The sequence below is a fragment of the Homo sapiens genome, chromosome 19 (genome assembly GCF_000001405.40).
Source record: "Homo sapiens chromosome 19, GRCh38.p14 Primary Assembly".
NCBI classification, from domain to species: domain Eukaryota; kingdom Metazoa; phylum Chordata; class Mammalia; order Primates; family Hominidae; genus Homo; species Homo sapiens.
Genome location: NC_000019.10, coordinates 2,192,548 through 2,205,524, shown reverse-complemented (window position 1 = coordinate 2,205,524; position 12,977 = coordinate 2,192,548). Strand labels below are relative to the sequence as shown.

The window sequence follows — 12,977 nt, the reverse complement described above, 5'->3', positions numbered from 1 at the left end:
GACCGGATGGACACCTTCAGCCTCAGTCTGACCAACACAGTGAAACCCCGTCTCTACTAAAAATACAAAAAAGTCAGCCAGGCACCTGCAAGGCTGCTGCTAAGCGTCAGTCTCACTATCACCAGCCACTATGGGGCATCTTGTGTGTGCTGCAGGAAGAACTTGGTGTCAGGAGCCGAACTTCGCAGGACCGAGAGAAACAGAGCCTTCTGTTTTTACACATATAAAGAAGGTAATCATAAAAGTCAAAATGTGGGCCAGGTGCGGTGGCTCATGCCTGTAACCCAGCACTTTGGGAGGCCGAGGCAGGGAGATCACGAGGTCAGGAGATCGAGACCATCCTGGCTAACACAGTGAAACCCTGTCTCTACTAAAAATACAAAAAAATTAGCCAGGTGTGGTGGCGGGCGCCTGTAGTCCCAGCTACTCGGGAGGCTGAGGCGGGAGAATGGCGTGAACCTGGGAGGCGGAGCTTGCAGTGACCAGAAACTGCGCCACTGCACTCCAGCCTGGGCGACAGAGTGAGACTCCGTCTCCAAAAAAAAAAAAATTAAAAGTCAAAGTGGATCCATTTAAACACATGCACACTCCGCCATCCCAGCTCTCCTCCCCTGGACGCCACACCAGCCCAGGCCTGGCATTCTACACACCACTCCCCTCAGGAGGAGCAGGAAGGGCGGTTCCAGGGCCAGGCTGGGCACACAGGTTAGGCCAGTATCCCTACCAGAGGACCTCAAACATGAGCAGGGCCACGTCTAATGGTTGCAGAGCCAGGCTAACAAATGCTCATGGGCATGTCTGGGACCATCAAGGCCCCTAGAATCAGCACTACTGGCCACCTGCCCTTCACTGGACATGTTCAAAACAGGGAGGGGCCGGACAGAAGACGCCACTGCAGTACCCTGACTCAGCCACCACGTCTGATCGTGCAGAGAAAGCTGGCGAGAAACAGCCAGAAGAGGCGTTCTAGGGCAGCGGGTACGAGGACCATGGAGGGGGTGACAGGAGCTGCCTGAAGCCACTGCTGCCTTCCTGCATGCAGCTGCAGGGTGCAGGGAGGCCCGTAGTGCTGCTGGGGTGTGGGGGCGACTGGGCGGGGAAGCATGGTGTCCTCACGTGGTTCTAAGATAAGTCAGAAACACCACTGCCACACGCACACACACACACAGATATGCAAACAAACTCCCAAGGCACACAGACGCAGAGAGACACAGGCATGCATGCACACACACAGACAAACAAGCAGACACATACATAGACACGGAGGCACACGGGCACGCACACACACAGGCATGCACACAGGCACAGACATGCAGACACAGGCACGCACAGGCACGCACACAGAGACACGCTAACAGACACACAGGCACACGGGCACACACAGAGACACAGGCATGCACAGAGACACAGACACGCACACACAGACACAGGCACACAAGCACCCTCCAAACCCCCAGGTTGTGGGGCGTTGGTGCTGAAGGCAGCTGCAGACCCTCTGGGTTTTGTTTGGGAGGCCTGAGGAGCCCACCGCAGTTCTCCCCTAGCCTCTGGAGGCCTCCCTAGAGAGGACAGGTGGGGAGCAGTTGGGAGGAAGAGGGGGTACCCCCAGAGCGCCTGTCTTCGAGCCCAGCAGTGGCTCTGGAAGCCACGTCCGCCAGGATACAGATGAGGTGGTGCTTGCTGCAGGGCTTGGTGGAGAGCCTAGGAAGGCAGGCAGCACAATCCCCTCAAGGAAGACCCCAAACCTGCCCTATGTCCTGCTGGAGGGCTGGCAGGGGCTGGGAGACAATGGCAGGCTCAGTCTCCATGTTTAGGGAATGGGCAGTCCACAGAGTGTGGTCTGGGTACCACCCTCGACTGCAGGACTGGAATCGATGTCATGGGCTGAGTTCTCCGCTCCTGAAACTACGCCAGGGCTTGGGGTTCAGAAAACAGCGTGAAGGGCCCTGCATGGGCCTGGTGACCTTTCTCCGGAGGGAGAAAACAAAACAGCTGAGAGCCCCACTCCTGCTCAGTATGGACACCAAGTTCCATGTGCTTAGGTCAAGAATAAAGGGGACTCTTGCCCCTGGGTGGTCAGCTGGCCATAAGCAAGCTGTAGGCTCAACTCAAGAAGATTCCAGGGCTGGGCACAATGGCTCACGCCTGTAATCTCAAAACTTTGCGGGGGCCGAGGCGGGCAGATCACCCTGACATCGGGAGTTCGAGACCAGCCTGGCCAACATGGTGAAATCCTGTCTCTACTAAAAGTACAAAAATTAGCCAGGCATGGTGGCATGTGCCTGTAATCCCAGCTACTTGGGAGGCTGAGGCAGAATTGCTTGAACCCGGGAGGCAGAGGTTGCGGTAAGCTGAGATCGCGCCACTGCACTACAGCCTGGGGGACACAGTGAGACTCCGTCTCAAAAAATAAATAAAATAAAATAAAAACAAAAATTAGCTGAGCATGGTGGCACAGACCCGTAGTCCCAGCTACTCGGGAGACTGACGCAGAAGAATCGCTTGAACCCGGGAGGCGGAGGTTGCAGTGAGCAGAGATTGTGCCACTACACTCCAGCCTGGGTGACAGAGGAAAACTGTCTCAATAAAAAAAGAAAAAAAAGCATAAAGGAAGACCACCTGGCTCCAAGGGGACTGAAGACCCCAAGTCTGAGCTGCCTTCTGCAGGACACCCTGCGGGGACCTCCTGGCCACCCTTCCTCAATCATGTCACACCAGCACAGACCGGCGAGGAGGGCGCCTTACCTTCCTTCATGTTTGCAAACCGCTCCTTCAGCTGGTGATCCACCTCAGGACCAAAGGCAAAATTATTCACAAATATAACACTGCAAAACAATACTCCAGTTCAGTGCCATGAAGGCTCGTCTCACGGGCACAGCCACCCGGCGCAGCCAACAACCGCTGCTGTCGGTGCTAGGCCCTGCCCACACCCGCCCGCCACCTCCAGGGCCAAGCCCACGCAGCTGAGCGCACGCCGTGGGTTTCAGGTGCAGGGAAAAGGCAACTGCAGCCTCTTCTGAGTGGGGCCAAAAACAGAGGGGGCAGGATTCGTGACCAAGTCTCTTATTGTGAATCTTGGAGTCCAGTGATCTGGGAAGGTTCACAAGCAGCCCACACAAGGTGGGAAGAGCAGCCGTGAAGTACCCACAGGCCAAGGGAAGAAGGTGGGTGGCCAAAAACAGAGGCCCAGCACGGGGCTGGACTGCAACAGGGGGCGCCAAGCAGAGGCTCCCGCTCAACTGCTGCAGAGACCGCAGACAACGGGTCCCAGGTGAGGCGCCCTTGGCAGCATTTCAGACACTCTGGCAAGGACAGGGGAACCAGAGGCTCCCCTGCAGGCCCAGCACTGCTTTCCCAGGCCAGGCATCCTCAAACGAGGCTCCTTGGGCTGCCCGTGTTCCCCACTCAGGACCGCACTTAGGGAGGCTAGACGTGAGGTCGGCTGAGCTCAGGTGGCCAAGGTGGCTGAGCGGTGTGAGCCAGAAAGACCTGGGTAACTGGGTGTTCAGGGAAGGAAGCTCCGTGATGCACACCTCCAAAGCCACCACCATCGTGAGTCAGACCCAGGAAAGGGAAAACAGGCTGAGGCCAGAGACAGTGCAAGATCCCACAACCAGTGGGCAGCCTGTGGGAGGAGTCCCTCCTGGTCAAGACCTGCACGCTGTGCCCAGAGCCAGAGCAGGCTGAGCCTAGGGCTGGGGCTGCCTGACAAGGCAGCGAGGCTGGCAGCTCCTGGAGAGGAACTGTGAGAGCCTGGGCCGAGCCCAGATGTCAACGGGACGCCAGAAATCTCTCGGCTTCTTAAGAGTTTGTTATAAGACAGTAATCACGGCCTGACCACTGCGGGTCCCCCTGCGCTCCCACCACCACCCCATGGGATGGGGACACCACAGGGTCAGCACGATTCCCTCCAGATGGCAGAACACCCGCCGGCGGGCACAGCACCCCAACCCAAATGGAAGTTCACACAGGAGAGCGAACCTAGGAAACTTTTGGGAAAAGAAACCCCCATTTTCTACTTGTTCCCCAAACCCTGCCCATGGGGGACACTCAACCACAAGCCACGAGCACACCCGAGGAAGAAGAGCACAGGGAAGACAGCAGGAGCGAGGGTGCGGGGAGGACGAGAGGCATGGGGAGGATGAGGAATGCAGGGAGAAGGAGGGGAGCGGGGAGGACGACGGGCGCAGGGAGGACGAGGAATGCAGGGAGAATGAGGAATACAGGGAGGATGACGGGCATGGGGAGGACGAGGAATGCGGGGAGGACGAGGAATGAGGGGAGGACGAGGAATGCAGGGAGGACGAGGAATGCGGGGAGGACGAGGAATGAGGGGAGGACGAGGAATGCGGGGAGGACGAGGAATGAGGGGAGGACGAGGAATGCGGGGAGGACGAGGAATGCGGGGAGGACGAGGAATGCGGGGAGGACGAGGAATGAGGGGACGACGAGGAATGCAGGGAGGACGAGGAATGCGGGGAGGACGAGGAATGCGGGGAGGACGAGGAATGCGGGGAGGACGAGGAATGAGGGGACGACGAGGAATGAGGGGAGGACGAGGAATGCGGGGAGGACGAGGAATGCGGGGAGGATGAGGAATACGGGGAGGACGAGGAATGAGGGGAGGATGAAGAATGCGGGGAGGAAGAGGAATACAGGGAAGATGAGGAATGAGGGGAGGACGAGGAATGCGGGGAGGACGAGAGGCGTGGGGAGGACGAGGAATGCGGGGAGGACGAGGAATGAGGGGAGGATGAAGAATGCGGGGAGGACGAGGAATACAGGGAAGATGAGGAATGCGGGGAGGACGAGGAATGTGGGGAGGACGAGGGGCGCAGAGAGGACAAAGAGTGCTGGGAGGATGAGGGGAGCAGGGAGGATGGCGGGACTGGGGGAGCAGGGCCCAGCCGGCTGCTGACCCCACCTCCCCGGCTGCCCTCACAAGCGCCTTGGGCCTCCAGGGTCCCTGGCACACGCTGGAGTGCTGTGGCCACACCCAGGCTGGGCAGTGGAAAGCACGGGGGCCCAGCCCAACCATACAGAGCCCGTGGCCACCAGGACAAACAGGTGGCGGTGGGGACGGACCTGGACAGTGCCCTGAGCTCCCAGGCCTGGGTGCGAGGTGGCGCGGAGGGGCAAGCCCAGGCAGTGCAGAGATGGCTTTTGGGACCACGAGGGGCCGCTCCCTCGAGCAGCCCTCATAGTGCTGTGTGGGTGCCAGCCACTCCAGAAGGGATGGATGGAGACAGGAAGACCCCCAGACCAAGCCTGAGCGGGGAGGAGGCCCAGGAAACCAGGCGAGAGGGGCCCACAGTGTCCCAAAGTCAAGGGGACAGGCAGCAGGAACGGGCTCACTGCCAGCAGGGTCTGCAGGGCCGACAGGGGCTCTGCTGGGCACGTCTGCTCTGCGCGCCCGCAGAGGGAGACCCAGCGTGAGGGAAAGGCGCCCTTCCTGTCCCCACCGGCCTCTTTCCTGCCACAGCCAGCACAGGAGCGAGGGGCCGCTCCCGGTCCCCGGTGCCATGGCCACCGCCCGCCTGTGAGCGCACACCCCACATGCCCTGCATGCCCCACGCTGGCCATACCTCGTGTTGGCGATTCGCTCCCTCCACTCTTCTGAGAGGAAATCGCCTCTCTCCAACTGAAAGGGAAAACAGGTGTGAGCGCGGACCCCCGGCCTCCCTGGCACTCCCAGCCCGCCCAGCCCCTGTGAAGAAAGAATGGAATGAACACAGCTCCGCTTGCAGTGAAGGAGCAGGAGGAGGCCCAGGCCCCACCGGCTGCAGCCCTGGGAGCTGCAGGCAGAAGGGTCCGTGAGAGGGATGCGCAGAGAACGGGCAGGACCTCCTGAGAAGCCGGGACAGGTCCTCGTGCTCCAGCATCCGCTTGGGGAGGCCAGGCCCAGCCAAGGGGACTGCGGCCACACCAACACACACCTGCAAGCCACGCTGCAGTCTCCTAGAAATGTAAGCTCAAAATCAGGGGCTGCAGCCACTCTCAGGACCAGAGGCGGCCAGCAGGGGCGCCCCGAGGCAGGGCCTGCAGTCCCCACCATGCTGGGCTCCAGGCAGGGCCTGAGGGAGGCCACAGGGCGCTGGGGGGCACCCTCTGCGGCAGGCAGCGACACTCGGCCAGGCTGAGAAAGCCTAGCGCCGAGCTCTGTCCCTCCCTCACCAACCACAAGAAACACGCACACAGGGAAGCTGAGCCGCCAGTCCCTGGGGGCGTCTGCCCTGAGCACCGCTGACGGCCTGCTAACAGCAGCGCTGTCCCCACAGCTCCACGCCACACTCACAGCAAGGCCAGCTGCAGCCCGACGCCAGTCCACCTCCAGACCTCAAGACCTGGCACCGTCCAGGAGAAAACACCTCTTATTAACCTAGCTGTCCAACACGGTAGCATCTGGACAATCAAGACACCGCCTTTCAAATCCTTCAAAAACACTACCACCTCCATTCCCAGGAGAAATAAAAACATGTCCACACAAAAGCCCGGACACAAATGCCTCCAAAAGCCAACACAACTCATCACAGCCAAAAGGTGGAAGCAGCCAAGCGTCCATCAGCAGATGAAAGATCAACACAGCACAGCGAGGCCGCGCACACCTGGAAGCAGGACCCCAATGAGAACAGGAGCCAGGCTCCAACCCAGGCCACATCGCGGATGCACCTTGAGGACGCCACGCTCAGTGAGAGACGCCGGACACAGAGGGCCACGCAGTGTGTGATCCTGTTTCTGTGAAATGTCCGGGACAGGCCCATCCAGAGACAGGAAGGGGATTCATGCTGGGGGCTGGAGTAGTTGGGGGTGAGGGCACCTGGGCCACAGCAGAAGCCCACACCAGCACCCCAAGAGCCGAGGGAGGACCAGCGACACTCCTTTCCACACAACAGCCACAGGCCTCGCGCCCCACCCAGCGTCTCTCAGGATGGGGACGGAGTCCCCGAGCAGAGAGGGTAACGCAAGCAAGCCGCCGCCCCAAGCAACAGGGTGGCCCACCCACTCAGCCCCAGAGAGACAGGGACACCCCCCCGGGCCCGGAGGACAGGGCCACTCGTCCACCCAGACGCAGATCCAGAGGGCAGGGCCACCCGCCCCGGCCAGGAGCAGCTGCACATCCTCCGCTCTCCAAGGCCGCGGGAAGCCCCCAGGAGGGGAGGAGACGGGATGGGAGGTGCGCAGGCGAGCCATCCTGAGCCTCTGCAGGTGCTGGGCCACCCCCCACACCCGTCTCCTCCCTCTCCACACCTGACAGACCCTCTGAACATCCCTCATTCCCCGTGAACAAGCCACCCAGGAAATGACTCAAATCCCAAGTCCTGAGCAGCACTAAGCAGATCCGGGCTCGCATCACAGGCCTGGGGCTGGGAACCCTCCCTGGGGTCCCCCACGCTCCATGACAGGATGGGCTCTGGGGCCGAAGCTGTTCCTGCAAACACCGTGGTTTATATGCAACCCTGCTTCCCTCTGGAGTCTGAAATGCCGGCCCCATAGGAAGCGGGGGTCTGGGTCTCTAGGAGCCTCCCTGGTGACACTGCTCAGGCGGGAGGACTTGGAGCCTCCCAAGTGGAGCACAGGCAAAGCCACAGAGAGTTGCTCCGAGGGTTTCCTCCAATATCAGATGCAAGTTTCCATCAGAAAGGGCAGGGAACAGTCAGGTGGAAGCCTCTCTGACCCACCCTCCGCAGCAGGGTTGGCTGTAAACAGGACGGATGCCAGAGGCAGAGGCTGGTACTGACACCTGCTTTCCCCACCACCAGGTTCTTTCTGACACGTGTTGCCAAAGCCACGAAGAATGCCACGCTTTCCCCCAAATCATGCTCCCAGACACATCTCAGGAGCCACTGGCCTGACCGTGAGCACCTAAACCTGCACGGAATCCAGACCACGAACGCAGCTCCATGCCAGGAGCACCTGTGCCACACTAGACACCATGCTGCTCAGCCGTGTCATGGACCCAGGCCCCAGGAGGCAGGGTGCTGACCCAGACGCTGACAAGATGAGGCAGAAGGGGGAGCAGTGCTGCGGCAGCCCCACCACCCGACAGCACCCCTCTCCTGAGCAAGGCTCAGCCCAGCCAGACCGCGCGGAGGAAGGCACCATGGCGCCCTCCTGGCCATCGCTGGGAACCATGGCGAGGGCTTCCATCCTCTGTGCTGGGATCTGTGTGGCTCGCCTGCCACAGCCAGGAACCCATGTGGGAACTTCCGGCCAGAGTGCAAGTGGACCCAGAACCCAGGACACCACACAGCTTCCACTGTGGGCACAGCATTTGGGAACAATCACCATGAGAAAGGGAAGGAGAGCCGGGCCCACAGCCCTGGATGCGCAAGTCCTGGTCAAAGACAGCAGAACAGAAGCCGAGGGAGCGCCACCCAGAGACCAAACCAGACAGGCGTGGCCGCAAGGAAGCACCGCAGGCCACGGCTCCCACCACGGCAGAAAACCCCTCAGCGGCCCATCAGCCAGCAGAATCCCACCTTGGATAAACAGAATCGCACGCCGACCAAGGCGGACGCGTTCAGCACTGGAAACCCATCACAGCAACGGGGTGAGGAACAGAAACCACAGCACCGCGCTGACACTAGAAGCAGCAACGAAAAAGCGCACGCTGCACACTCAGGACCACGGGCTTATCCTCCACCCGAGGGAGAGCATCCACACGAGCCCGCCGCTAACACCGTGCTCCGCGGCCAGGGGCTCAGCTGACCGCCAAGACCAGGGCAGGGAAGGGTACCCGTCTTGCCCTCACGACTCACATGGCATGGGAAATGCCAGCGCCGGCCAGCACGAGGGTACGGGAAAGGGAGAGGAAAGGCACACGGACTGCTAAGGAAAAGGCAAAGCTCCGTGTTTGCAGGCGACACAACTGTCAACGTAGGAAACCCCAAGGAGGCCCGGCGCGGTGGCTCACACCTGTCATCCCAGCACTTTGGGAGGCAGAGGCAGGCGGATCACGAGGTCAGGAATTTGAGACCCGCCTGACCAACATGGTGAAACTCCATCCCTACTAAAAATACAAAAATTAGCCGGGCGTGGTGGCATGCGCCTTTAATTCCAGCTACTCAGGAGGCAAAGGCAGGAGAATCACTTGAACCCAGGGGGCGGAGGCTACAGTGAGCCAAGATTGCGCCACTGCCCTCCAGCCTGGGCGACAGAACAAGACTTTCTTTCACACATGCACAAAAAAAATGTGTCCGAACTCCTGGGCTCAAGTGATCCTCCAAAAGGTTCATCTGCCAGACCACCACAGCCAGGACGCCCAAGGCAGAGCCAGTTGGCAAGGGCTCCTGACCCCGGTCGGGGCCACCAGGGATCGGGGCCCTGCACCCTGACACCGGCCTTCACTTGTGCTGTGGGACAGTGCGGAGGGGTCTGAGCTGGGGACAGGGGCGCGTGCTAGGCAGGACGCACGCCCACTCGTGGCAATGACAGGAATGTCGAGGCCTCACGGCGATCCGAGGAAGGCCCTGGCTGACAGGCCCACAGAGGGCACCTCAGCAGGGAGCTCCAGGCAGACGGGCGGGCACACAGCCCCAGCCACGCCTCCACGCACCCTGCTGAGGAGACAGTGAGGGGTGGGCACCACCTGGGAGGGGACTGGAACTGTATGCCACCTGTGTCCCTCATGCATCCCTCTGAACTGTGAGAGTCGAATGACAACAGGACCCCTGAACACTTTGTTTCTGTTGCTTCTGCAAACTTGCGGATTCCACCCAGGAACTGGGTCGTCGCAGGCACCTGGGATCACGAGTTGGCCTTGCCATGTTCCATCCTGAGCCGCTCTGCTGGGCAGCTTGGCAACCCCTGTGCCATCGTCCTCCCAGGGTGGTGACCTGGTGCCCGCCCCACCCAGCACTCCTTCTGCCTTATAAGGGAAGCTTCTCAGGACTCAAGGGGCTGCGGGCTCTGAGGCTCGAGGGGCTGCGGGCTCTGTACTCCAGGGGCTCCAGGTCTAGAATAGGAAGCATCCACCTTCCTGCAGTCCCCAGACCCCAAGCCACCCTCCAATCCACATCACGGGAGCAGCTGCACCAGCACCAAGCCCACACCCCATAAGGGCGGGGAGGTCTGGGACGTCGCTGGGAGACAGAGCAGATGGGCCCGGGGCGCCATCAGCCTCCACCACAGGTGAGCGCCTGAGCAGCTGGGACTGTGAGGAGGAGCACACAGGTCAAGGAAGGACCCAGCTCTGCAGGCCTCTGTGTGGAAAGGACCAGGGCGGAGCCTGGTGTCTAAGGACTCAGCGTGGGGTGGGAAGGAGTTCCCAGGAGGATGCAGGAGTGGTGGCTACTCCTGGAAGCTATGGCCCATTAATCACCCAACCTGGGTCAGGAAAACTGTCCTTCCTGCTCCCTAAACAGCATCCCCTTCCCACCCCCACACCCATCCCACTGCCACTCAGCCACTGAAAGGGGAGCGCACACCCTACAGGGAGGGCCACACGCGACGCCATCCCCAGGGTCCATGGGAGGAGCACCTGAGACTGCATCACAACAGGGCGGGAGAGAACACTGCCCACCCCGAGGTTGCTGGCTTGTCATGAAGAACACAGCACTGAGGACCAGGAACCCGTCCAAACAAGGCTGTCCCCAGTGAGGGATGACACCCCAAGGATGCCGCAGCCAGCCCAGAACCCAGCCTGTCCCACAGGCCTCCGCTCCATGGAGCCCCAAGCCCATTCCCTGCACCACCTCTGTGCACCGCATGCTGCCGAGGGACAGAAGCCATGTCAGAGAGGACGAGAGGGACGGTACCAACAGAGGCGCCTGCTGCCGGCTCAGACGCCACGCCCAGGCAGCCCTACGAGAACCAGAGGGGACTCCAGGGGGCACACCATGTGCCAACAGCCATGTGCCAACATCGGCAAGAAAGGAGGGGCTGACAGGAGGGTGGGAGCGGGGGTGGGGCCGGCGATGGGAGCCGGGGCGGAGCGATGGCACTCACTGTGTATTCTGCATGCTTTTTTCCATACCATTTCATCCACTTCCTGAACTCGCGGTCCATGGTCTGGAAGGAAAGAAACCAAACGCCCGTTACAAACTCTCAGGGCAAGCCAGGCGCGGTGGCTCACGCCTGTAATCCCGGCACTTTGGGAGGCTGAGGAGGGCGGATCATGAGGTCAGGAGATTGCGACCATCCTGGCTAACACGGTGAAACCCCGTCTCTACTAAAAATACAAAAAAATTAGCTGGGTGTGTTGGGGGGCGCCTGTAGTCCCAGCTACTCGGGAGGCTGAGGCAGGAGAATGGTGTGAACCCAGGTGGCGGAGCTTGCAGTGAGCCGAGATCGAGTCACTGCACTCCAGCCTGGGCGACTGAGCGAGACTCTGTCTCAAAAACAAAACAAAACAAAAAAAAACAACAACAAACTCTCAGAGCAACAGGGCCTCAATGCGCCTGCCTGGGCAGGCCACCCAAAACACCCCGCTTCTCGGAGGGCTGTGCCACGAGGTAGAGCTGAGCACCTCTCGCCTCACTAGTGGCACGTGCCATGAAACAGGCTCCGAGACACCCCTGCAGCGCTTGGACAGGCCTGGAGGGCCGGCCTGTAATGGGCCGTGAGGGCGATCGGGCACCCTATTCACAGGCACACGCTGCAGGCAACCAAGACGTCTTGGGCCTGGAAAGAACGCCACCCAGACTCGGAAGTCCCACAGCAGTGGGGTGCAGGCACCCAGGGCGTCACTTTCTCTGATGGTCCCCTGCCTCCAACACACCCTGGCCCTCAGATCCGCTCACCTCCGCATACTTGGCCGGGATGTCTGCTTTCTCGACGCCATAGTGATGTTTGCAGTTGGTGGCAGCAGCAACCTGGAGCACGACCTGGCCCACACCTATGATCAGAGAGATCCATCAGATACCACACAGCGCTCAGATGCCACCCGGGAGGCCGTGCTAGGCTCGGAGACAGAGGCCACAAGAATGCGGCCATGAAGACCCACAGGGGAGGCCACAGTCTCCACACATATCCGATGCTCCAAGGTCACTCAGGATCCTTCCCAGAGACCAGGCCCCTGACAGAGCCCCCACGAGGGGACGGTCATCACAACGCGTCATCCATGGACATCACTTGGTGGCCCCCGAAACCAGAATCCATTTTGAGTCTCAGGGCCCTATGTGATGTTCACTGTTCAGACAGACAGGGCTGCCCAAGACTTTGCAGGTCTGGAAAGGCTGCCGTCCACCTCAAATTATCCCCACGTCACCAGCACACAGACACACAGCAACCTGGCTGATAAAATCTTATGGCACCCCAGGAAGGCTCATGAGCAGGATCTGACTGAGGCTCAATGTAGGGTGGGAGAGGCAGTGAGGGGTCCCCCGCAGCCAGGACAGTCTCCCGGCCGCTGCGGTTTCACAGCATCAGCACACAACCCAGCAACACCCGGCTCTAAGGGAGAAGGAGGGAACAGGGGCTGCAGATACGCCAGCGTCAGGAGGGTGGAGGCAGCGGCGCACACCGGGGGTGTCAAGCCACCTCTCCTCCCCTGCTAGGCAGCTCTGTGCTCCAGGGAACGGGCATGAACCATGGAGCGACCACAATGGGCACAGACCGCCGCCACCACACCAGTGGGAAGAGAAGCACACAGGGACGGGGGGCCAGGGCCCGGCCAGCAAGTGCTAGGCCGTCATCATCTAAAACATATAAGCCTTTTTAATTTTTTGTTTTTGAGACAGGGTCTGATTCTGTCACCCAGGCTGGACTGCAGTGGTGTGATCCTGGCTCACTGCAGCCTCAACCTCTTGGGCTCAAGCGATCCTCCCACCTCAGCCTTCCAAAGCATTGGGATTACAGGCAGGAGCCAAAGAGCCCAGCCAGATATGCCCCATTTTTTTTTTTTTTTTTTTTGAGACGGAGTCTCACTCTGTCACCCAGGCCGGAGTGCCGTGATGCGATCTCGTCTCACCACAACCTCCGCCTTCAAAGTTCAAGCAATTCCCCTGCCTCAGCCTCCCAAGTAGCTGGGATTACAG

The 12,977-nt window shown here is 60.4% G+C and overlaps 1 protein-coding gene across 7 annotated transcripts in view, besides 3 other annotated features; it reads right to left on the bottom strand.

The window, feature by feature from the left end:
• Positions 1 to 12,977, bottom strand: part of DOT1L (DOT1 like histone lysine methyltransferase) — a 68,646-nt gene that overhangs the window by 27,054 nt on the left and 28,615 nt on the right. For 6 of the 7 annotated variants that reach the window (NM_001411141.1, NM_032482.3, XM_011528359.3 and 3 more), the window contains 4 exons: positions 11,742 to 11,836; positions 10,948 to 11,010; positions 5,586 to 5,641; positions 2,746 to 2,825 (listed from right to left, as the gene is read on the bottom strand). In NM_001411141.1, the coding sequence (NP_001398070.1) occupies positions 2,746 to 2,825; positions 5,586 to 5,641; positions 10,948 to 11,010; positions 11,742 to 11,836 (294 nt within the window). Of the gene's footprint in view, positions 1 to 85; positions 319 to 2,745; positions 2,826 to 5,585; positions 5,642 to 10,947; positions 11,011 to 11,741; positions 11,837 to 12,977 lie in introns of those variants that run through there. The other variant, XM_011528361.3, reaches the window with a different exon arrangement.
• Positions 4,305 to 5,278: an enhancer, noted in NCBI's record as "H3K27ac hESC enhancer chr19:2200246-2201219 (GRCh37/hg19 assembly coordinates)". NCBI's record gives its function as "activates a minimal SCP1, AML or CMV promoter by ChIP-STARR-seq in naive and primed H9 embryonic stem cells {active_cell/tissue: H9 hESC(naive and primed)}" and the evidence as "EXISTENCE:reporter gene assay evidence [ECO:0000049][PMID:30033119]".
• Positions 8,933 to 9,461: an enhancer, noted in NCBI's record as "H3K27ac-H3K4me1 hESC enhancer chr19:2196063-2196591 (GRCh37/hg19 assembly coordinates)". NCBI's record gives its function as "activates a minimal SCP1, AML or CMV promoter by ChIP-STARR-seq in naive H9 embryonic stem cells {active_cell/tissue: H9 hESC(naive)}" and the evidence as "EXISTENCE:reporter gene assay evidence [ECO:0000049][PMID:30033119]".
• Positions 9,462 to 9,990: an enhancer, noted in NCBI's record as "H3K27ac-H3K4me1 hESC enhancer chr19:2195534-2196062 (GRCh37/hg19 assembly coordinates)". NCBI's record gives its function as "activates a minimal SCP1, AML or CMV promoter by ChIP-STARR-seq in naive H9 embryonic stem cells {active_cell/tissue: H9 hESC(naive)}" and the evidence as "EXISTENCE:reporter gene assay evidence [ECO:0000049][PMID:30033119]".